We start from the raw sequence: 23,307 nt of genomic DNA, 5'->3' as shown, positions 1-23,307 counted from the left end.
GTTTAAGAACCAAAGGGGAAAAAAATAGAGAAGGAAAGGTTGGAGACATATCTGAGAGAAGGATAATTGACAGAGCAAGGTCCATTAGGAAACGAAGGGGAGCATGATTCAGAAAATAGGCAGCAGGGTTGACCTTAAGTAGGAGGTGTTAAAGTAGTCATTTCTATTGAGACAGAGGAAAGGAAACAAAGAATGGGCTTTAATTGTGAGTGAACTTACAGGTGGAAGGCTAGCAGTAGAAAGCTGAGAGAGTTCCTACTCTATGACCTCTATTTTCTCTGTGAGATAGGAAACAGCTGATTTGCTAAGGAAGAGGGGAGATGGGCACATATAATGTCAAGTAAACATTTAAAATATCCAAATGATGTTGAAGGTTCTGTAGAGATTGTAAACAACTTGTAGAAATACCAATCCATGCCATCCTGTCATTTTCTTTAGCAATATGGTTGTAGAATTAAAGAGGACATAGTTAAATTGATGAACTGCTTCTTTGTTTTTTCAGACAAGCTTAATTAGGCAGGGGAGTCAAAAATCATTGACAAGGAACTGGTTGCAGTGATGGGGAAGGAAGCAAAGGAGGTTACTAATAAAATTGTGCCAAGGGAAGAGATGACTGCAAGACTTTTGGCTTAAGAGGCTGAGTAAATAGAGATTTAGGGATGTAAATAGATTTAGGAGAAAATATAACAGTTCATTTGTAATATTTCAGGTTTCTATGTCCGGCTCCACATGCAAATCCAGATGCATAGAAAGGAGATCCAACCTGAAAAAGACAGTAACTGAAGCCATGGAAATATAAAGGGAAAAAATAGAATTTACAACACTGAAGAAGGAATCCTGAAAACATTCGGAAGGGTCAGACAGAGAAACAGTGGCTATAAAGTCCCTTGGGACTTTATAGACAAGCCAGAAAGATAAGGAAAAGAGTCCAGATGAGGGTGGTCCCAAAAGTCCAGAAAAGAGAGTTCAATGGTAGAGTGATCAAAATGTTAGTGCTGCTGAAATCTGCAAAGGTTGTTGTCTAAAATTTGTCTTATTCATCTCTGTTAGCATATAGGAAAATGTGTGGCACATTGTCAGAATTCAGTAAATGTAAAGTTCTGTGTTGTGGACATCTCAATACCTGCAAATCTCACTCCAACACTGTTTGAATTGTAACAAATGCAGAAAGGGCAAGGAAGGAAGGAAGGAAGGGAAGGAGGGAAGGAGGGGAGGGGAGGAGAGGGGAGGCGATCTGTCTTACCCCAAAGGCCCCATTCAGCCCCCATGTCTCCTGTCCCCAGGCTCCTGCTCCCACTTGGAAATTCAGGACTTCAGCTCCTTGAGAACTGCATCCCATTCCCATCCACACCACCTCAAGCATCTCTAAAATCCAGGATTTGTCTCGCAGTTGTTCATGATAGGGTGCTACCATTTTCCCATTATCTTTGACTGGACAGTTCAGTTCCCCAACCTGCCACTTCAAGAGGCACCAAAGTCTCCTGCTGGATGCTGTCGATCTCCACCTATCACAGATGCTGGTGCCTCACCAAGTGCATCAACAAGTTTTATTCTTCCACCAGACATGCTGCTGAAGATCTCTGTTAAGCACCATGACTAAACAGCCAGAGCCCTCAAAGTGCCACAATGTCATTGTTATCTGTGGGGAAATGCGCCCTCTCACCTTTGTGTTACCCTCTGTTAGAGGTGTCCCAAAGCAGTGTTGCTCCTGCTTCCATTGTCTTACAGATTTGAATAGAAGAGCTCTTTCCATTTCTATTATTTTGTTTTTTTACCTATAGATCTCTTTCTCACTCTAGGACTCAGGCATGGATTGTTGCTATATCTACCTTTTCATATTTGTTTGTGAATTTTATAAGTGTTTTTTTAGTGCTTGTTGTTAGAGTGCATAACTGGAAAGTTAAGTCATGTAAATGGACTAGGGAGAACTGAAAAAGGCCATAAATTGTTGAAATAAATCCAGAAGTCATTTTGCAAAAGGTTTCATGGGTACACTGCTGAAGACCAAAGCAGTTCCCATTTTTAGGGTTTTTTTTTTTTTTTTTTGAGACGGAGTCTCGCTCTGTCACCCAGGCTGGAGTGCAGTGGCGCAATCTCGGCTCACTGCCAGCTCCACCTCTCGGATACATGCTATTCTCCTGCCTCAGCCTTCCATGTAGCTGGGACTACAGGCACCCGCTACCACACCCGGCTAATTTTTTGTATTTTTAGTAGAGACAGGGTTTCACGGTGTTACCCAGGATGGTCTCAATCTCCTGACCTCGTGATCCGCCTGCCTCGGCCTCCCAAAGTGCCATTTTTAGTTCTTTACTCTAGTGTCCCATCATTATCATAACTCAGCTACTTTCTCTGTGTCTGATAATCTCTGGGCATCTTTCTACTTTGTTTCAAATAACAGGCTACGGATTCTCTTCCCACATCTCCAGGTCAAATTCCTAAGGAAGTAATTGATTGATCAAACTAATTACCATTGTTCTTGAATGGACATTTGTGCCATCGAATGTCATGGAATACTGATCTACTTTTGGTTCAGCAATAGACTCAAGGTAGTATCATATGGTACCAGCAAGAAATACGTGCAGAAGGAACCTCCTATAAGAGGTCTGTAGGAGTGGCAGGTAGGCATTCTCAGGCATGAACGTCCTACACTAGGAAATGAGAATTTCTATACACAGTAACCTTCAGCAGAGACAATGTACTGAGCATGTAGTAAGTTCTCAAACATTATTTTTAGCTCCATGACTTAAAAAATAAGTCTCACTTACTTCATAGGACATTTAAGTCCACTTAGGATATATTTCAATTTACCTTTCCAGTTTTATTGATTATTTTTCCTTGAACTCTCTATATAGCTTACATTTGTTGAGTGCTAACAGTATGTCTGGTACTTTTCTAAGACTGTTACATGGATTTAGTCATTTAATCCTCAACAACACAAAGTACTGTTATTAGTCTTATTCTACCAATAAGAAAACTGAGGCTCAGAGAGGTTAAGTTACCTGCACTAGGACATGTATTAATAGTTAGTAAATGATTGAACACAAATTCGAACTTAAGTAAATGGCTTCAAAGTCCAATATCTTAATCACTAAGCCATACTGCTTCTCAAAAATCAACCAATATTACTAGCATAATAATAATAGGTATTATGAGTGATTATTGTATGTTGTCAGGGTTCAGAACACCACACCCACCCCAAAGTGTGGTGCTTTGACATGCTGAGTACTTTAAAGGAGACTGGGAAGGCCTCAAAACTAAGGTCTCTCTGAACTTCTTTCCGTCCTCCTTTCTTCCTTTTCCTGTTCTTCCCAAGTGGGTCTTACAACCTAGAATTTCTCTCCCTAAAGGAAGCCATAAAACCTAGTAAGGGGCCGGGCGTGGTGGCTCACGCCTGTAATCTCAGCACTTTGGGAGGCTGAGGCAGGCATATTGTTTGAGGTCAGGAGTTCAAGGGCAGCCTGTCCAACATGGTGAAACCCCATCTCTACGAAAAGTACAAAAATTAGCCGGGCATGGTGGTGGGTGCCTGTAGTCCCAGCTACTCGGGAGGATGAGGCAGGAGAATTGCTTGTACCCGGGAGGTGGAGATTGCGTGACCCGAGATTGTGCCACTGCACTCCAGCCTGGGCTTCAGAGTGAGACTCTGTCTTCCCCCAACAACAACAACAACAAAAAATCTAGTAAGGTTACTTTCTGACTGTCCCTGCCTTTCCGTGGTCACAAAGGAGTTCTGACTTACCTCACCTGAAACTAGGTCATAAAACCCTCATTCTAGAGAGTTCCTGCCCCATACTCTGAGGCCAAGAATTTGAATGAACTGGCCTTGCTAGCTAGGATCCCCCCTCAGTTTATTATCATTAGATGATGCCCCCTTTCAATCATGTTTCTCCACAACTATCCACTCCTTTCATCAGACTTAGCATAAAAAGCCCATTTTTTCCTGGGTCTTTGTGTCTTCATTTCTGAAGACTCCTCTGTCACATAAAACTGTGTTAAATGAATTTATTATCCCTTTTCTTGTTAATTTTTATTATTTATTTTTTGAGACAAAGTCTCGCTTTGTCACCCAGACTGGAGTGCAGTGGCACAAACATGGCTCACTGCAGCCTCGACCTCCCAGGCTCAAGCAACCCTCTCACTTCAGCCCAGAATAGTTTGGGACTACAGGCGCCCATCACCACACCCGACTAATTTTTGTTTTTTGTTTGTTTGGTTGGTTTTTTTTGTAGCGACAGCGTCTCACTATGTTACCCAGGCTGGTCTCCAACTCCTGGGCATAAGCAATCCGCCTGCCTCGGCCTTCCAAAATGTTGGGATTACAGGCATGAGCCACCTGCGCCTGGCTTCTCTTAATTTTTTTCATAGGAATGTCAGCTGTGAACCTTGTGATAAGTGAGGACAAGATATTTTTCTTGCCCTTACAATGCCAAACAATGGACTAAGCGTTCTATTATACACATACGGTACTCAAACTGATGTTTTGCCCTGTTGCCATTATAAGTAAACACTTGCATTACAGTAAATAGCCAGAAACAAAGCTGCAACACTTCCTGTAAACGCTACTATAGCCGCACTCCACAGGATTTTTTAATATGTTCTATATTATTCAGTTAAGTAGATATTCTCATTTCCATTGTGATTTCTTCATCAGCCCTTGAAATATTTGGTGTATTGCTCCTATTCCAGACGTGGAGACTTTTAGTTTTCTTGTTACTCTAGTTTAATTCTACTGTGATCAGAGAACATAACGCTGAAAGGGGTCGGAGTTTTGAATGCACGGGGGCTTTCCTTTATGGCTCAGGATGTGCTCGATGCTGGTGTATGTTCCACGTGCATCAGGTTTCCTCTCTTTCCAATTATCGTGCTAAGAGCTGACTTCAGCTTAGAAATCCTCAAAGTCCCTTCTGACACTAAGTGTGTGTAATTCCAAGCATAAACTAAACGGTAATTACCTCGAACTTTTCTTCCTGTTAACTCTTTTCCTCTTGATTTTTCAAAATGCAGCAACTATTACTTCTAATAAAAAAACAGAAAAAGAAAAAAAATCCACTTGTATTCGCCTGTAGCTCTGTGCTTTCGGCTCTTCTCATATGCAAACGAAGACCCCAGGCGCCGCCAAAACACAGCGTGAGAGACGCCCGGGAGCCCGGGCCGCCGCCAGCGCACGCTCGAGCACACCCGGGCGCGCCCCAGCACCCTGCCCCTCCCAGCTAGGGCTGAGGGGCGGGGCCGCCGCGGCGCGCTGACGTCAGAGGAGGCTGCGACGCTGCCGGGTCCGCCGCGGCGCTGGCGGCAGTGGCCGGTGTGAGCGCAGAGCCGGGCCCTGGGCAGCAGCGGCAGCGCGGTAGGACCTCGCGCAGCGTCCGCGGGCTCCGGGGCGGGGGCGCCAGCGGCGAAGCCCCCTCCCCGGGGAGGCGGGACCTGGGGGAGCTCCCGAGCCGGGGAGCGGCGGCGGCCGGGAACGATGCATCAGAAGCTGCTGAAGAGCGCGCATTACATCGAGCTGGGCAGCTACCAGTACTGGCCGGTCCTGGTGCCCCGTGGCATCCGCCTGTACACCTACGAGCAGATCCCCGGGTCCCTCAAGGACAACCCGTACATCACCGACGGCTACCGGGCCTACCTGCCGTCCAGGCTGTGTATCAAAAGGTACGGTCTGGCTGCCTCCGCCTGGAGTGCCCCCTTCTCTCACCTACACCCTTTTTGTCTGGTCCCCCTTCTGCTTTCCCCGCCTTTCTGCTTGCCCATCATTTCCTCGCCGCCCCATCCTTTTCATCCCTTTTTGCCGCCTCTCCTCCCCCGTTATCTCCCCTTACCTGGCCGGGGTACTTGGTCCACGGAATAATCATGATAGTAACAGTGATCATAATTACAGCTCTCCTATGACGCTTTGCTCTTTACAAAGGGCTTTTACATCCTTTATTCGGTTTGTTCGGCTCATTGAGATATATATTGAAATGGGGCTGAGCCATATTTGCCCGGTGTATACCTTTCTTTTTAGAGCAACACTGTGGGAATTCAGTAGCTTTGGGCCAGATAAGTGCCTGTATAATAGGAAACAAGTTAACATATACACCCGAGATTTATTCATTTGGCAAATACTTATGGAGCCCATGCAGAAAAAAAAGCAAACATGGCCCTTGTTTTCATGAAGCTACTAAGGTGTAGCCTGGGTAACAGACATTAAATAGATAATTACACAATTACATAATAACCATTGTGGAAAAAATGCTGTGTAGGAAAAGTACTGTGGTAAAGAGAGCTCATAACGGGCACCCAGTCTCCACTAGAGCACCACAGAAGCATCTCTAAGAAAGAAATTTCTTTATCATTTTAAACCTTTAAAACCACAGTCCCTTGAAAATCCGTGTTTTAAAAAAACAAAACTGAAAAATAACTATTCTAGTTCTTGGAGTAACTGTCCAAACTTACTACCTGTACTAAAATACAGGACCTCTGCTTCAGGAGAATTAAGATACAGGTGTTGGTTAGCTCCAGGTCGCTGTAGTGGCAAACCCTAGTGCCAGAATGTGGGCTGTTGAATTGCTCAAGCGGCAACCACATGTCTGATTCTTGATTTTTCCAGCATTGTCTTTTCCTGCCCTTCTTTCCTTTTGTCCTGCCATGAAAGTGTTTCTGTGACTCATGGTCACAAGGTGACATCACTGCCCATCCCTACTTGGCTTGAATGGATGGCCCTTAGGATTCACAACTTGAAGCGTAATTACCGTTTTCCTCCCCAGTGCCTCCTGTGCATGAGTAAATTACACAGCTGAGTTCTGCTGTGGATCTGGAGTTCCACAAGAATAGGGCAAGCAGTGAATTGCCTTAAATATTTTCTACTCAACTAGCAGTGGTCTTCTGCGTTCTGATGTTAGGGTCCAAATCTCATGGAGTGGAAAATTAAGTATAGAGCATTAGCTCTTGAGCTATTGAGTCAAAGACTTTAGTATCCAAATCTGCCACTTAACAGCTCTGAGACCTGGAGCAAAATGTAACCTCACTGAGCCTCATTATACCCACATATAAAAATGAGGGTAATCACAGTATCTGCTTCCAGAGGTAAAAAAAGATTCAGTAAGATTCTGTGTGTGAAATGCTATACATGGCCTGGAACCTAATAAGCCGTCAATAAATGGTGATTGTTGTCATCACCAGTGGTTGTGAAGCTGAACAGATGATGATAATGAAGATGATTATTTGATTTTAAAACTGAACAGAATACGAAGATGTGGTGCTGGACTCCTGTTAACTTCAATAAGGATGGCACCAGGTTCGAAAGACGGAAGAAGAGACCCAAAGCCAGTAAACAAGACATAGGGTTTTACTAGGGTAATTTACAGAGAGGTCCAGTGACAGTGGCCTGAACGGGAGAACCTCTGCCGCCTGCAGAAAGCATGCAGTTTAAATAGCATTTTTACTTAGCACCCTTCCCCCTAACAACCTCCATCTGGTAATCTTCATTTGCAAAACAAAAGGCCTCCATCCCATGTACAGTCAGCATTCCATGAGATGGGACAGGGGCTCAGATGTTCCTCATAGATAAGGAATCAGTCTAAGGGTTGGCCGTGCTTGGAATTGTAAACACACATTCAAGTGTGTTTTTCATATAGGGTCATTCTCAGGGTATGCTTAAGATACTGCTGTCAGGTGTGTCTACTGTGCAGGAGACACCTAACTTTTCGTACAGTAAGAGTAGATTCTTTATTGGAGATGTTCTTGCCTTCCCACCAGCCTTATCTTTTCCAAGTTTAGCCTTTGCCCTCTCTCCTTTTGGCTTTCAGGAGTGACGGGGACAGATTTTGGATGTAATCTGAGGAGGTTTTGTATGTCATAGCAGTTTTGCCAGTCCTCTGTTAGCTGCAGGGAACATGGAGAGGTGGTGCCTCTCAGTTCAGTTAGTCAGGTTATACTGGATTTCACAAAAAGAAAAGTTCTGAAGTAATAAGCAGAGCATAGTACTGATTGTCAAAACAGTCCTGTAGTTAGATGTTTCAAGCACATTCGTGCATCCCTTCCTCCAGTTATAAGTAGTCTTTACACTTGATGCTTGTACATGATAAAGCCTGAAATTCATGATCCAAGATTCACTTTATTTTTGATGATCATTTGATAGTTTTGACACCTTGCTATATACATCATGTATTTGGCCTTCACTGATTCAGAAATCCTTACTAGTAAGCGTTGACGTATAACTAAATTTGTAGCAGTCACTATGGTTCTCACTTTCATTGTTACAAGAAATGAAGTTGAGAAGCAAAGCAAATAGGAAATTCCATTTCTTGTAAAAATGAGAACCTGAGAACCACAGTGACTGCTACAAATTTAGAGTTATATGTCAATGTCATTATGTCAAGGATTTCTGAATCAGTGAAGACCAAAAACCTAAATTTAAGCAAAAATACGAGATTTTGCAGACAAATGCAAGAGTATTTTAATCTTTAGTCATGATGTCACCTTTCAGTAAATAATCAGATGAGTCCTATCTACATCTGGAGAACCATTTCACAAAAGTAAGAAAGGAGCTAGAAGAAAGTTGCAGCAGCATCTAATGAAGCTCCATTACTGTATAGATGAAGAAACTGAAGCCGGGAGAGGTTAAGTGACTTGTGTAGGGTGGGGACAGTGAGCCTCTTGACTCAGGGTGGTACACGCTCTAGCAACCTGTGCTGCCAAGTCCAGTTAGCCCAGGGCATTTTGAAAGAGAGCACGTAGTACCCATATTAAAAGTTAAGTCCAGTTGTTTGTGAAAAGGAGAAACTTATGCCACCTGGAAACTAGACTAGTTTTAAAACATCCACGGCAAAGTTGTTCTGGCATGCCTATCTTAAAGAACCTTTCCAATGGATCAATATATATTTATTTTGCTTCTCTTAAATCCATTTAATTTTGCATTTGTATTTAATGAGCTCTAGGAAAGTATTTTAAGATGATGCCTAACCTTGCACTGAGCAGGTTTTCAGATACGTATTATTGATAGAGTGTGCTAGTTAACATCCAGATTTCCTCTGCACGTTCATTTCTGGAGACCTTTAGTCTATAGACTAATCTGAGCAAGGCATTGTGAACAGTAGTGTCATAAAGATGAATGGTACTGACCATTAGGGAATTGATAGGCTGGAAGATGAGATGGAATTTGTATGTAAATCTCTTAATACAGAGAAGGAAATGGTAAGTATGATAATAGAGGTGAGCACCCAAAAAACTGTGGTCCCAGACTTGGTGGCGATGTAGAAAAACTTAGAATAATTTAATTAGATAATATATCAAATTTAGAAAGGTACAGGTGGGGTAAGAGCTTAAAGGAGCAAGTATTAGGTAACTCCTCAAAATTGTCCCTAACCTTTGAACGTGACAGTAAGTTGGCCAATGTGAATCTCAGTTGCATGTGTGTTTATTTTCCAGTTTGTTTATTTTATCTAATGAGACAGTAAACATCTGGAGTCATTTGCTGGGTTTCTTTCTCTTCTTCACCCTGGGAATATATGACATGACATCTGTGTTACCTTCAGCAAGTGCGTCCAGAGAAGATTTTGTAATTTGTTCTATTTGTCTTTTCTGCTTCCAGGTAAGTCATTTCACAAATACTGCTGTTGGTAAAGAGAACTTTTTGACAGGCAGTCTTGGTCAGGTGACCTTACCTCAGACCTACCACTTGCTTTAAAGAGCCCCGGAATGGCATGTTGGTCAGCTTATTGATTTTCATAACATAAACACCAAACGATGTGTTCTTATGAGAGTATGTTTGAAATCCATTAAATTACAAAGATTGAGAAGAATTTGTTTCTTTCCTCTTCTTTTGGGGCACCTCTGCTTTAAGATTAATTAAAAAAATAGGAATCTTTGATTGCATTCTATTATCTGGCTGAAGTACAACACTAGTGCCTACTTAAAACTTGTTTGGGAAGATTTCTCATCTCTTTCCTCCTGTTTGTGTTTGTGATTTTTGTATTTGTTATTTCCATACTATATTTTACTGTCCTGTTTTGCTGGTATTGATTTTTTACTCTGTTGCTTTAATGTTAATTTATTTTGAACCCACTGGCCTGGCTTCAAATACGTTGTTTCTTTTCCTCTCTACCTCCTGTATTTGTTAGTTCCATAGCACTGGCATTTTTCAAGAATCTGTAAAAATGTCTTTAAAAGTTAACATTTATTAGATTTCAAACAGATAATTTTGAATCAGAAAACAAATGTGGACTGTAGTTCTGTTGACATTTAAAACAACTTTTTCTGCTTCAGAGAACATAAAAAAACACAAAAATGAAAAACTTATTATCCCCCTTTCTCATGACAGACACAGAGTAGCTATTCCCTGCAGTTAGCCTGTTGCTGCTGAGTTTGAGAGGTGAATCTCATAACTCAGCTGCACAAATGTCGCTTTCATCATGTATCATTTTATTTCAGAGAGTCATCATTTTACTCAAGTTTAAACTTTGGACTTCAATGGCCAAGAAACACAGCAAAACAAATCTCTCTTCCCCTTTTTTATTAATTCCAATTTTTGGAATAATATTTTAATTTTCTTTGAGGGAAAGCATAATCTATTTTTGTTATTAGAAAATTATTTTTCCTTCAAATATTCTTTAAAAATAAACTCTTTCTGAGGTTTAATTTTTGCCCTGATTACAGCCAAAATATCCCTTGAAATCCATAACCAATTTTATAATGGAAATGAATCAATTTCTTTTTAAATTTTTAGGTGCATCTTAGTATAGATTAACATGCTATTAATAATCATTAAGTAAAAACTGGCTTCTATTCTTGTTAGTTATATGCATATTATCTACTTTGAGAATCCCTGCTCTTTTCCTCCATCCCTAGGCCTATTCTTTATGCCTTCACCACCTGCCACAGCTGATGTTAGTTCAGAGAATATGTATCAATTTCAGTATTGACCTAAGAAAACAATACATTGCAAAACTAAAAAGGATTAAATAATTACAACAATTTCCAATAAAGAAACAGACCCAAAATATTACAGTGACTTGCCCAGGATTATTCAGCAGGGCAGTAAAATCCTGTTCTCCTACTTGCTAGTGCAATGATCATTGTTACAATACATGCTGTACAACTTACTAAAGACAGATGAGCACATCTTCCCTACTTGAAAAGACCACTTCTTATCAAATTATAACTTGTTCACTTGAGTTTTCCAGATTCTTAGGGTCAGTGGACAGTATAGTAAACCATAGATATATTTATTAATATTGATTTACATTTAATATTAAAAGACATAACATTTTTCTCACTCCTATGCTTCTGTATGCTTTAGTGCTTTCCTCGCAACCAGATAAATAGAGTACATTCTGAACAATAGAATGTAATTGAGGGGCTTTGAACCTTCCCAGGGTATTTGTATTTTGGAGAAGAATGTTAGAATACAATAATGCCTTGATTTGATCCATTTACATTCAGTTAACAAATATTTGTTGAATGTGTCCTATATACATCCAGACACTATACAAGGCATCGGTAAAACAGTGCTGAACAGAACCAACCTGGTATAAAGGTCAAGCCACTCGTAGGTGTGCAGAAGAGACAGTGAGGCAGGGCATTTAAGCAGGAAAAAAGAAGCAAGACACACTTTCTTAGCACTTTCTGGACTTGCAGGTACTAGTTTTTGTGGTTGAAACCTAGGAGAATGGAGAAAGATAAGGCTGAAGAGATTGGCAGGGATCAAATCATGAGGTATTTTGTTATCATGCCAAGGAGTTTCGATGTGAATGTAACACTGTAATTATCTGTCTACCTTGATGGAGTGAGGTACTCCATAGAAGGAAACTTTCCATTATAACTGAAACATACCCAATTTGCCAGATTATCTTTCAGTCCATTTTTAAACTCTAGGAATAACATATTCCTTCTTAAACAGGGCATACTAGGTATGGGTTAACTTTAAAATCTGGGGTTTTCTGTTAATGCTATTTTACTTTTCCCTTGGATACCATAGTTTCTTTTTTTCCTCTTTTTATTTTCTTTTTCACAATGAAATGAGCTTTATGTTTGTTTCTAATTATTACTACAAGATATAATCATGTAGAAATTTAGGCAAACAGAAGTTTGTGGAAGAAAACGTCACCTGAAATTCCACTTTTCAGAGGTAACCACATTGGACATTTGCGTTAAACAATGAGTTTAACCCAAATGCGTATGTTTGTGTATGCATAGCTACCTTGCACCTGCCTACCTGCCTGCTCCCTTACCTGTCTACCTACTTCCAAGCTACAGTCATCTCTGCTTGCTATTTTGCGACCTGCCCTTGTGTCATTCAACATTGTGGCAATGGGATCTTTCCCCATCAATGAGAAATATACACTTTTATGTTCTCCTGATTTATGGTGCTTAATCTCAAGGATAATCTGAGAAAACAAATAACCAAACTTCTTTGAGTTACGTTTAAATAACTAACTTAGAATTAGTTACTGATTGGTTGCTTAGTAACCAAAAAGCTATAGACTATTAAGGATTTTAGACAATTGATGAAGCAATGAAGTTGTGGCAAAGTACATTGTTATTGAATACTGATATTGAGTCTATAGTAACTAGATTTGTTTAATGACCAGAATATAAAATATTAATAGCTAGATGACCATGTTACTGCCTTAGCAATAGCTTACAAAATGTTTATCATTTGTAACTACTTTATACTGTTTATTTGTCCCATTGCCTCCACCCCACTGTCACTGTCTCAGTGTTTGCTCTCCAGGGCTATTTCTGTAACCTCCTGTTTCAGCCCTTCTAGTCCACACCTCTGTTGGGGGGCACTTAAAATCTTCAGGAGTATCTTATCATACCCATAATATTGAAGTTAAAACCCATTAATGTATAGGAAATGTCATAATCATATTATAAAGAATATGATGCTTTTCCTTAATCCCTGCCCCCAGCCATAAATATGTGCACACCTTTTTTTATGTCCTTGGTGAATGCCAGCCCAACTTTTAAAATCTGCCTCAGGTGAACAGCCCTTCTCTGATACTTTTCTTCCCACCAGTCCCACCCTCCAAATGCACATGTACCTCCACAGAGTCAATATCCTCCCACCTTTTCCAATTATGCTGTGCACTGAAGTACAGTAGGATTTGTTACTGTACTGTTTGTTCAGTGATTCTGTATCACCTCCAATGTATGACATACAGCAGGTACTTAATAGCTGAAAGGCATTCTGCCATAGAACCTTATCAATTATCAGAACAGCTGATTGAATCAGATTAGCTTTACTCTCAGTTTGGCAACCATATAAAGTTAGCAAGTCATCACTGTTTTTTAAATTATTATTATTATTTTTTGAGACAGGATCTCACTCTGTCACCTAGGCTGGAGTATAGTGGGGCAGTCACAGCTCTGTCACCCAGGCTGGGGTATAGTGGGGCAGTCACGGCTCACTGCAGCCTCGATCTCCCAAGCTCAAGTAATCCTCCTGCCTTAGCCTCCCAAGTAGCTGGGACCACAGGTGCATGCCGCCATGCCCAATTTTTTTTTTTTTTTTTTTTTTTTTTTAAGAAATGAGGTCTCCCTATGTTGCCCAGGCTGGTCTCGAACTCCTGCGCTCAAGAGATCCTCCCACCATGGCCTCCCAAAGTGCTGGGATTACAGGCATGAGCCACTACTACACCAGCCTGTTTTTTCTTGAAGGCAATAAAACTGTGTTTACCTTAGAAATTAAAAGTAAACTCTATACAATGAATCTCATACAGACATGAACATTCTTAACTGAAAAAAAGCCAATTGTGGAACAGAATGCATAGTGTGATTTCATTTAATTTTAAAATGTGTGTGTATATATATATATATATATATATATAATGTGTGCATGTGTATAGACTAATATATCACAGGTGTTTGACATATGTATTGAAAATATCTGGAAAGACACATAAAAAATGTTATCACTGGCCACCTCTGGGGAATAGATTGAGTAAGAGGGGCTTATATTTATGTTCTTTGATTTTTTTAAGGCTATATATTGCTTCTATAGTAAATACTCTTTAAAAACAAATTAATTCATGGATCAAAACAAGCCTCAGATGATAGTTTTAAAACATTTGCATTGTATAACTTTCCCATTACTGTGCTATTTATTTATAATTTTCATTTTGTAATATAGTTATTTTAAATTTTCTCCTTCATTATTATTATCTACATTTTACCCATGAGGGAACTGAGGCTTTCCCTCATGGCTCTACATGGCTCTACATGTAGAGTGAGCTCTACAGTAGCCATGTAAGGCACAGAGCTAGAATCCAAGCCCATAAATGTTTGAATTGAAAGCCTAGCCTCTTAACTACTTCCCTGAATATCATGCATAAGTTGCTTTAGTTTCTTTAGTCACTTTGTTAATTTGTTTTTATTTTTCACAGGTCTGTATGCTTTGCTCTGTGGGCTATCATCTTTTTTCCTGCCATCGGTCAGAAAAAACATGTCGAAGATGGATGGCATTAGATTATGCAGGAATTTCTATTGGAATACTGGGCTGCTATGTCTCAGGAGTATTTTACGCATTTTATTGTAATAACGTAAGTAGATGAAAACATTTTACATTCGACCTTTCATATTGGTCTTGGGTTTTCTTGCCTTGGTTCTTTTGAATTTCTGAATAAGTACATAATTAACTTATAGACTAAATAGAAGAGTCTCGTATAAGCATAAACTTATTTTTCAGAATGGCCCTGTCATCTCTAACATCTGTTATCAGTTCCATACTTACTTTACTAATTTTCTATTGGAAAATATATATACAGTTATTTTCTGAAACTTAATGTAGACATTAAATTATTAATGTTTTCACTAAATCTATATGGCTGCGTGGTTCCTCAGATATGCACATTATATATCTTTTATTTGTGTGTTTATAGAATTGAAGTTAAAATTAACACTTGTTAAAATTATGAAGTTGGTTACTGCTTACCATTTCTTTTTTCTCCTCTCAGTGAAAAAAAATACAGGAAAATATATCTGAATTTATTAGCCCATATTCTTCTGTAAAATATGTTTTCCTGTCTTCAGTCTTATGTTTGGGGGTAGGCTTGTAAGACAGACCAGATAGGAGTCAGTGTCTTTAACAAATGTGAGATGTGTCTTTTCTGAATTCTGGATCAACTCTGCTTTCTGTCACTAAGTTCACACAAAAGTCAGTTTTTGCCTTGTGCAAAGCAGCATTTGCAACACTGTAATCAGATAATACAGCACCTGACCTAAAAATATTGGCCAACCAAACCTTACGGAGTAGAACCCTTAACTCATCACCTCATGTTCCAGCCAAGAAGACAAATTCAATGTTCCCATGGTTTCAGTACATCTCAAGTTCTCCCTTTCAGAAAGTCCCCTTCGACCCTACTTTGTTTTCTTCCTGTTTTTCTACCATGCCCTTGTTTTTTCTTTTGCCCTTTTAGTTACCTCCCTTTCAGAACCAAGACTGAGCTTCTCCCTCAGGAGCAGTATACCTACTAGTTATTTCTAGTCCTAGTTACAAAGAATAGAGCCTGTCCTGCCCAAGGCCCACCATGTAACAGGTGCTCTAAGGAAGGGGTCACCAACCCCCAGAAGCTGTCCGTGGCCTGTTAGGAACCAGGCCATGCAGCAGGAGGTGAGCAGTGGGCCAGCGAGCCAGGGAAGTTTCATACGTATTTACAGCCACTCCCCATGGCTCGCGTTACCACCTGAGCTCTGCCTCCTGTCAGATCAGCAGCAGCGTTAGATTCTCACAGCAGCGCGAACCCTATTGTGAACTGCACATGCAAAGGATTTAGGTTGTGCAATGTAATGCTTGATGATCTGTCACTGTCTCCCATCACCCCCAGAGGGGGACCGTCTAGTTGCAGGAAAACAAGCCCAGGGCTCCCAGTGATTCTACATTATGGTGAGTTGTATAATTATTATATATTACAATGTAATAATAATAGAAATAAAGTGCACAATAAATGTAATGCACTTGAATTATCCCGAAACCATCTCTGCCTGCCTCCCCGCACCATGATCCATGGAAAAATTGTCTTCCACAAAACCAGTCCCTGGTGCCAGAAACGCTGGAGACCACTGCTCTAAGGCACAGTCCCCAGACTTCACTTATTGGGAAGATCGGCCGCAGTGTAGAATTTCTCACATTGCTTGGGATTTTTCAGTAGGACCTTTGTCTCTACACAATAACAGAGAATACTGTCAACATATCTGGTATGAAAATTAGTGAAGAGAAAAATCATAAATTTGATTTGAATACGTAAGAACATTATTAATTTTAGCCACTTAAACGCGAGCCATTTGCTTTTTGCTTTTTAGGCCTAATCACTTTGGAACATAAGCACATAATTAAAAATATATGCAGGTAACCTTGTTGTAAATTGACTTGATTTTAGCAGTATGCTATTTATTTCTGCCCAGCTTTCATAACTTACTCATTTTGCATGAAACTGTTTATATCTTTAAAAAAAATTAGAACATACTAATAACCAGGTGCTTGTGAGTACAGCCATGTAATATTTGAATTGTTTTGCTTATCTTATTCTGTATTTCTCTGAAACTGTTTTCTGTTTACCTCTTGCTAAATGTCAAAGTGAGATACTTTTTGTAAATCTCTTACCAGAAAAACTAAAAGTCCAAGATAGATTAAAAAGATAAGGGAACTGCTGAAGCTGATAGAGTCAGTCCATGATCGTTGAAAAATTGCTTTCTTCCATCTGGTTTCTAATCATTTTCAAACACTCAGTTGCTGTAGACCTATAAAAGACTCGTTTTACCTTTTAAGGAACACAGCTGCTTTCAGAATGAGATTGGAAACTGTGGACCCTAGATCCAGTAGAATGCACTTTTGCGCACACCCTAAACAGTCTGACATTTGATTTCAGAAAGTTAATAGCCCCAAAGAAGTCCTTGGAGCCCAGATTAAGAACTCTTGTCTTACGTGACTTTTGACTTTAAGACCAGCTAACTGCTTATTTAAATACCTGCATATCCCATAAGCCCTTCAAACCTAAGCGAAGTGTGTGTTCTTTCATGCCCCTGTTCTCTTCCCCCATCACACACACAGCAAAACTGGAACATCTTTGTTCATTTGCTTCATTAATAGAAGCCATTTATGTGGCCTTTCAGGCCAAAAACAGTCAGGCTTTCCTCTACTGCCCTCTCACACAGCCAGTCAGCCATTAAGACTTAAGCTTATTTCAAAAATGCCTCCTAAATCTGGTGCTCACATCTACTTTATTCAACAGGAGTCCAAGCCCCCACTCTCTCTTTGAATAAACTAAACTAGTATCTTTCTAGCTGGTTTCCTGTCACCTATTTTCTGCACTGATGTCAGAGTTGTCTTTCTAATAAGTCTGTTTGAAAGACAGCCATGTCATCCTATTCTTAAAGAATTCTGTTATTCCTCCAGTGCCAGTGTGGTAAAGTTCAAAACATTTAGCCTAACAGTATGCCTTTTTAGCCTTTTTTCTCAAAACTTCCTGCTGCATTTGCTGTTCTCTTTCCTTGAGAGCTCTGTCTTCCCACAAAATCTTAGATGTCATCTCTGTGAAGCATTTTTTAGCTACCCCAAGTAAAGTTAATTGTTCCCTCTTCTGTGGTTCTACAATGTTCTGTTCCTCAATTACGGTATCTACCATAAGATTATAATCTTTTGTTCACATTCTGCCCCTCCCATAGTCTGTGAGCTGACTGCTGGGAGAGTCCATGTCATAGTCATCTTTGCTTTTATAGGACTTGAACTGTGCCTGGCAGATAATAGGTAATCAGAAAATGCTTTTGTATGAATAAATGTAGTATTTTACCAGCTCACTTTAGAATTTGGTTTGTCATTCTGACAAACCTAAAAGTTGTATGGAACATATTTTTTAATGAAGGGAGATAATCCTATTTTGAAATGCAAATACCAAGTAAATAGACTTTGGAATTTGTAGTGTAAAAGCCAAAATTACTTTTTCAGTTCCTTTATTGTTAATAACAGAATTAAAATGTGATTTCCTTTCATTCTAGTACTGGCGTCAGGTGTACTTGATCACAGTGCTTGCTATGATCCTGGCAGTGTTCTTTGCGCAGATTCATCCCAATTACCTCACGCAGCAATGGCAAAGGCTCCGTTCTATCATCTTTTGTTCTGTTTCGGGATATGGAGTGATTCCTACTCTTCACTGGGTTTGGCTCAATGGAGGAATTGGTGCTCCTATTGTACAGGTAGGTTGAGTGTAGTTAATATTTTTCTCTTTTTTTTTTTCCTTTCAATTTTATTCCTTTTGGGTAAAGTAGTATAATCAGGCCAAGTGGGTAGATGTTTGTCATTTGAGAACATATTTGTAATTGCATGTTGATGCCGTAATTTTCACAGCCATATAAATAAGCATACCTTGCAGAAGTCGAGGTAAAATCTGAATACTGATTTTCTCTGAGTTGTCTTTCTGTAAAAAAAAATACATTATTATTCTCTATTACCCTTAGTATATAAATACCCAAGTCCTTATTTGTGGAGGAGGACTCCAAAGTTTCTAGCTTTGTCTGCGGGATCAGTGATAATGCCAATGATAACGCAAGTATAGAAATAGGAGCAGTTGATCTTTTAGGGGGTGAAGGGAGGTTGGGAAGGATTTTTTTTGTTGGACCCGATGAGTGTGGGGTACCCATTGGATGTAAAGGTAGAGATAGGATCTGGGATTTCAGCCAGAGTTTGAGACTGGCAATAAAGATTTGGAAATCATCATTGTATTGGTAGCTGGAGCCAGGGAAGCATGTTCAATCCACCAAGGAGAATATATTGAGAAATAAAAGAAGAGCTATTTGTTAGAATCAGGTATTATGGGGGAACAGTTGATGTGCATTAGGAAGAGTCTCAGTGAGAACTCAGGATTCTTGAGAAAAGGATTAGAAATAAGACTTACATTTTTAGAGATCATTACAAAAATGCTGTACATATGCACTAGAGAGTAAACTTGAGAATTTTTAATACAAGTAAATAGGCCAAGAAATCTGACAGAAATCACATATACTCATTGCAATGGTACCTTTGTCTAGAATGTGTGACTTTAAAGGGGGGTTTCATTCAAAAGAATCAGATTTTATTAGAAGAGGAGGGACCATTAGTGGGCCTACATTTATTTGCATGAAGTTGGCAGCAGCATAGTAGAAAACAGTTGGGTGTACAGCTGAAAAGAAAGGAAGTTCTGTGACAGAGTGAATTGAGTGATATAATCTGGCTACTTGGCCAATGTGAGGACAAGGGTGATGATGTCTTCATAAATTAGGATATTGGGAGAAAGGTGAGACAGTAATGATGAGGGACATCAGGAATCCTCCTATCTGTGAAAACATCTTTCTGACAATTTTGATTCCTTTATAATAAGAAAATGAAATGGGGAACTGCCACTGTAGATAAATTCCAGCTGGAATAATTGGTTGTTGATACAGAAGTGACCAAAATTTCTAGATTTGATAAACACATTCCTTTTGAGCTTATAATGACAAAAAGAATAAGACCCATTAAGTCAGTGAATTTTAGAGAAATTAAGAAAAAGGGATTTTTTTTTTGTATTCAGAAATCTTAAAATGGAAAGATGGCTTAGATAGTAGTTTTCAAAGATGGAATCCTAATGTGATCACAGATCATTCCGGTGAGGAAGCAAAGGGAAACTTTCACAGAAATTCTTTGATAAGCTCTATTTTAAAAAGATGGAAAGACAGGCACTTTAACAAAGTTAAAAAGTTCTGGAAGGGTTAATCTTGGGAGGCAAGATCAAGTTGTGTTCTAGAATGTTTGAGAAATCTGAGTTTGATTAATCTAAAAAATATAGGAGTTAGGGAGGGCTATGATGATTCTCATATTTGAAGAGGAAGGAGAAATTTGTCTTTACATTTTATTTCTTTGAAACAGAGTCTCTCTCTATTGCCTTCAAACTCCTCGGCTCAAGCAGTCGTCCCACCTCAGCCTCCTAAGTAGTTAGGACTATAGGTGTGCACCACCATGCCCAGCTAATTAAAAAAAAAAAAAACAACTGTAGAGAGAGGTGTCTTACTATGTTACCCAGGCTAGTTTTGAACTCCTGTCTTCAGCTAATTAAAAAATAATAATAATTGTAGAGAGAGGGGTCTTACTGTGTTGCTCAGGCTAGTTTTGAACTCCTGTCATCAAGCGATCCTTCTGCCAAAGCCTCCCAAAGTGGTAGGATTACAGGCATGAGCCATGCACCAAGCCTGTCCTTATTTCTTAAATGAGTTCTTGCTAAATTAGGTTTATAACCAGTATTAGGAACAATATGTATAAGGATAGCTTGCTGGATTTTCTCAGGGCCAGGAAAGTCTTCTCAATACTGTGTCAGCAGTGAGACAAAGTGCTTCATATAGTAGTATTCAAGAGGACCATTTATCTGGGATATTGGAACAGATTTCTGTCTGGGGAGACCCCTTAGGTCTTTTCCAGCCATAAGTTCCTGGTCTTCAGTGTCTTTGCTTATTTACCTGCCAACTCCATTTCCATATGCATTCTACACATATACCTACATTGTAGATGGAGTTGGATGCCCTTAGGAACTTCAGCATGTTAAAGCTCTAGCCCCTTTAGGAGCCTGACCGTTAGAGCATTCTCTGTGCTCCATTCTTGCAGGCTGCTTCCTGCATGTGAGGACAAGGTTTCTATTATTGGAGACAGTCTGCAAAACAGTTCAGATTTAACAATCTTAAATCCCACTATTAGATTCATAATAAATTTAGAGTTCAGTAACAGTAGGAAGATCTGTAAAAAAACATGTTCTGCTTTTCAGGACTTTGCACCCCGTGTAATTGTGATGTATATGATTGCTCTTCTTGCTTTCCTATTCTACATTTCCAAAGTCCCAGAGCGGTACTTTCCAGGTAGGTATCTCTTTTATAGCAGTTTTGTATTGTTAGTCTAAATATATGCCCAAGGTATATGCATCAGAGCATCAAAACTTAGTTTCATTTTTTAATATTATTGATTATGGAAATGATTCCTCTCTTTCCAAATGTTACCTAAAACTTTCAAAGGGCTTTCACTTTTCCTTTCATCCTGATCATGTGAGTTGAGTCCAGTAGGTGGTGTTGTCACTGTTTTATGGTTATGAACTAGTGACAAAGCTGACATTAGACTTTGAGTCTTCTGACTCCCAAGCACTATTTCTTTTAAAAAGTAGAACACCGTCAACTACCATTTACTTCTCTATATGCCAGCTGGTTCTTTAAAAGTAATTTATATATGCAGAGATATATAAAGCAAGAAATAAGCAAAGGACAGTAAGAAAATGTAAATGACGAGTTAATGGGTGCAGCACACCAACATGTCACTTGTATACATATGTAACAAACCTGCACGTTGTGTACATGTACCCTAGAACTTAAAGTATAATAATAAAAAAAAAAGATAGTGAAAAGAAGTGAGGTGTAGGATCACTTCACAATATGTACATCGAAGGGGTCTATAAAAAAGATAAAGGTGACAAAGCTGGCTTTAGGCTTCCTGGCACCCAGCACTAGGAAGAAAATAGTGAAAGTTAAGAGTCTTTATGTTTCCAGAAAAAGTGAAAAGAAGTGAGATGTAGGATCACTTCACAATATGTACATCAAAAGGGTCTATAAAATAGATAATGGTGACAAAGCTGGCTTTAGGCTTCCTGGCACCCAGCACTAGGAAGAAAATAGTGAAAGTTAAGAGTCTTTGTGTTTCCAAGATACACAAGCCAATAGATTTTTTTGTTCTTCATTCCAAAGAAAATATTTTCAGATGGAAAATAACTAAGAGGACACTGGGTGGAGTGAACAACAGTCTCCAAAACCTGTATTTGCTTGTTTGAGAACTTTAGCTCTGGAGTCAGACTGCTTGGGTTCAAGACCCACATCAACCACTTTCTAGTTACGTGGGCTAAGTAAGTTACTTAAGTGCTCTCAGCTCCAGTTTTCCTATCTAAAACATGGAAATACTTTTTTTTCCCCCCAGGGTTAGGGTAAGGATTAGATGAGAAAATGCATGTAACACAGTTTAATGAGGGTTAGATGAGAAAATGCACATATCATGTAACCAAGTTTCTAGCAATTAGTAGGGACTGAATAAATGACAGCAATTATTACTATGTCCCCCAGCCCTGGTCTTATAAGTGAAATATGTGGTTTAGTAAGAGACAAAGTGATGCAAATCCAGGTAAGTTTTGGCATGGGTCAGAAATAACATTTAGAGTACATAAAACTGATGTTTTTTTTCAGTTTGGAGAGCTATGAGTCAGGGAGCAGTTTAAATCTAAACTGCAAATTTATCCCCTCTTCTTCCTGGGTTAAGAATCACTTCCACGGTGAATCAGAGAAGGGATTGTACCACTCGTCACGTGTGTTGGGAAAGAAGAAAGGGTGAGAAACCCTGGCCTAAACAATCCATCCCACAGATCCTCAGGCATTCCTTTGTGTACTTGGTTTTTCACCACTGAGCTTTAAATAAGAATGGAAATACAAGGGAAAACCTGCGTTGTAAACATGAGGATTTGGGAACAGATCTAGGACATGCCACTGAATTGAAGACCACCCATCTTCCAGGCAGGGCCAGAATTACAGAAAACAATTCTGGTAAAATATATTTTTGTATCACTTTATTAATAATTCTTTTTAAAATTCTGTATTTTCTTTATAGCAAGACAAGTAGAACACTAAACCATGAAAATTCTCTATGTGATTATGACCATAGTGGGTTTTAGGCCTTAAAATATTCAGATCAGGAGTTACCAATTGTTTAATATAGGACATATATAAACAATCAAACTTATTGTAACTTAACCTTCCCCAAGACACACTTGACATAAAATGTGCCCTATGTAGCAGAGCATATTGAGTTTGGGTACATGAGAGCAGTGGAGATATGGAAACTAAAAAATTAAGTCTTTCCAGTGAAAAGTGATAGTCTCAAATGTTCATATATAAATGCCTTAGAAACTATCTCTGGCAAGTCCTCATGTATGACCTGGCCACTGGGAAATAAAATAAATTTTAAACTAAAAGCTTTCATTCAGCTCAGGTTGAATGTTTAAAAATGTATACACAACACAGTGGCATTTGATGGGTCCAAGGGTCCCCAAGGTGTCCATGGATAGAATTGAGTGGATCTCTGATAGTTGTATTAGATAATCAATATTTGTTGTAATCCTCTGTGTTTTGTTTTTTAAAAAAATGGGTCTGTAGGCTTCACTAGACTGCCAGAGGCGTCCATGGTACAAAAAAGGCTAAGAATCTTATTGATATACACTTTAAAATCTATGTACTGTACTGATTGGTAAGAAAAAAGAGAGGTTAGAGAATATTTACATTATATGACCATAGAAGCACCATGAG

General features: G+C 39.3%; 1 protein-coding gene across 16 annotated transcripts in view, besides 2 other annotated features; it reads left to right on the top strand.

The window, feature by feature from the left end:
- Window positions 5,072–5,561: a silencer, noted in NCBI's record as "silent region_15515". NCBI's record gives its function as "represses an Ori minimal core promoter by ATAC-STARR-seq in GM12878 lymphoblastoid cells {active_cell/tissue: GM12878}" and the evidence as "EXISTENCE:reporter gene assay evidence [ECO:0000049][PMID:35858748]".
- The window catches only part of PAQR3 (progestin and adipoQ receptor family member 3), a 52,363-nt gene continuing 34,306 nt past the window's right edge, over window positions 5,251–23,307 (top strand). For 7 of the 16 annotated variants that reach the window (XR_938694.4, XR_007096371.1, XR_007096372.1 and 4 more), the window contains exons 1-5: window positions 5,251–5,649; window positions 9,406–9,568; window positions 14,364–14,519; window positions 17,971–18,168; window positions 20,742–20,832. Coding sequence is in view for 7 of the 16 variants with exons in the window: in NM_001040202.2 (NP_001035292.1) it covers window positions 5,465–5,649; window positions 9,406–9,568; window positions 14,364–14,519; window positions 17,971–18,168; window positions 20,742–20,832 (793 nt within the window). In the remaining 9 variants the exon portion in view is untranslated. Of the gene's footprint in view, window positions 5,650–9,405; window positions 9,569–12,029; window positions 12,104–14,363; window positions 14,520–17,970; window positions 18,169–20,741; window positions 20,833–21,705; window positions 21,861–22,194; window positions 22,549–23,307 lie in introns of all 16 variants that reach the window. The other 9 variants (XM_047449645.1, XM_024453910.2, NR_146462.2 and 6 more) reach the window with 8 other exon arrangements.
- Window positions 5,652–5,721: a silencer, noted in NCBI's record as "silent region_15514". NCBI's record gives its function as "represses an Ori minimal core promoter by ATAC-STARR-seq in GM12878 lymphoblastoid cells {active_cell/tissue: GM12878}" and the evidence as "EXISTENCE:reporter gene assay evidence [ECO:0000049][PMID:35858748]".

The sequence above is a fragment of the Homo sapiens genome, chromosome 4 (genome assembly GCF_000001405.40).
Source record: "Homo sapiens chromosome 4, GRCh38.p14 Primary Assembly".
Classification (NCBI taxonomy): Eukaryota; Metazoa; Chordata; class Mammalia; order Primates; family Hominidae; genus Homo; species Homo sapiens.
This window is presented reverse-complemented; position numbering and strand designations above follow the sequence as displayed.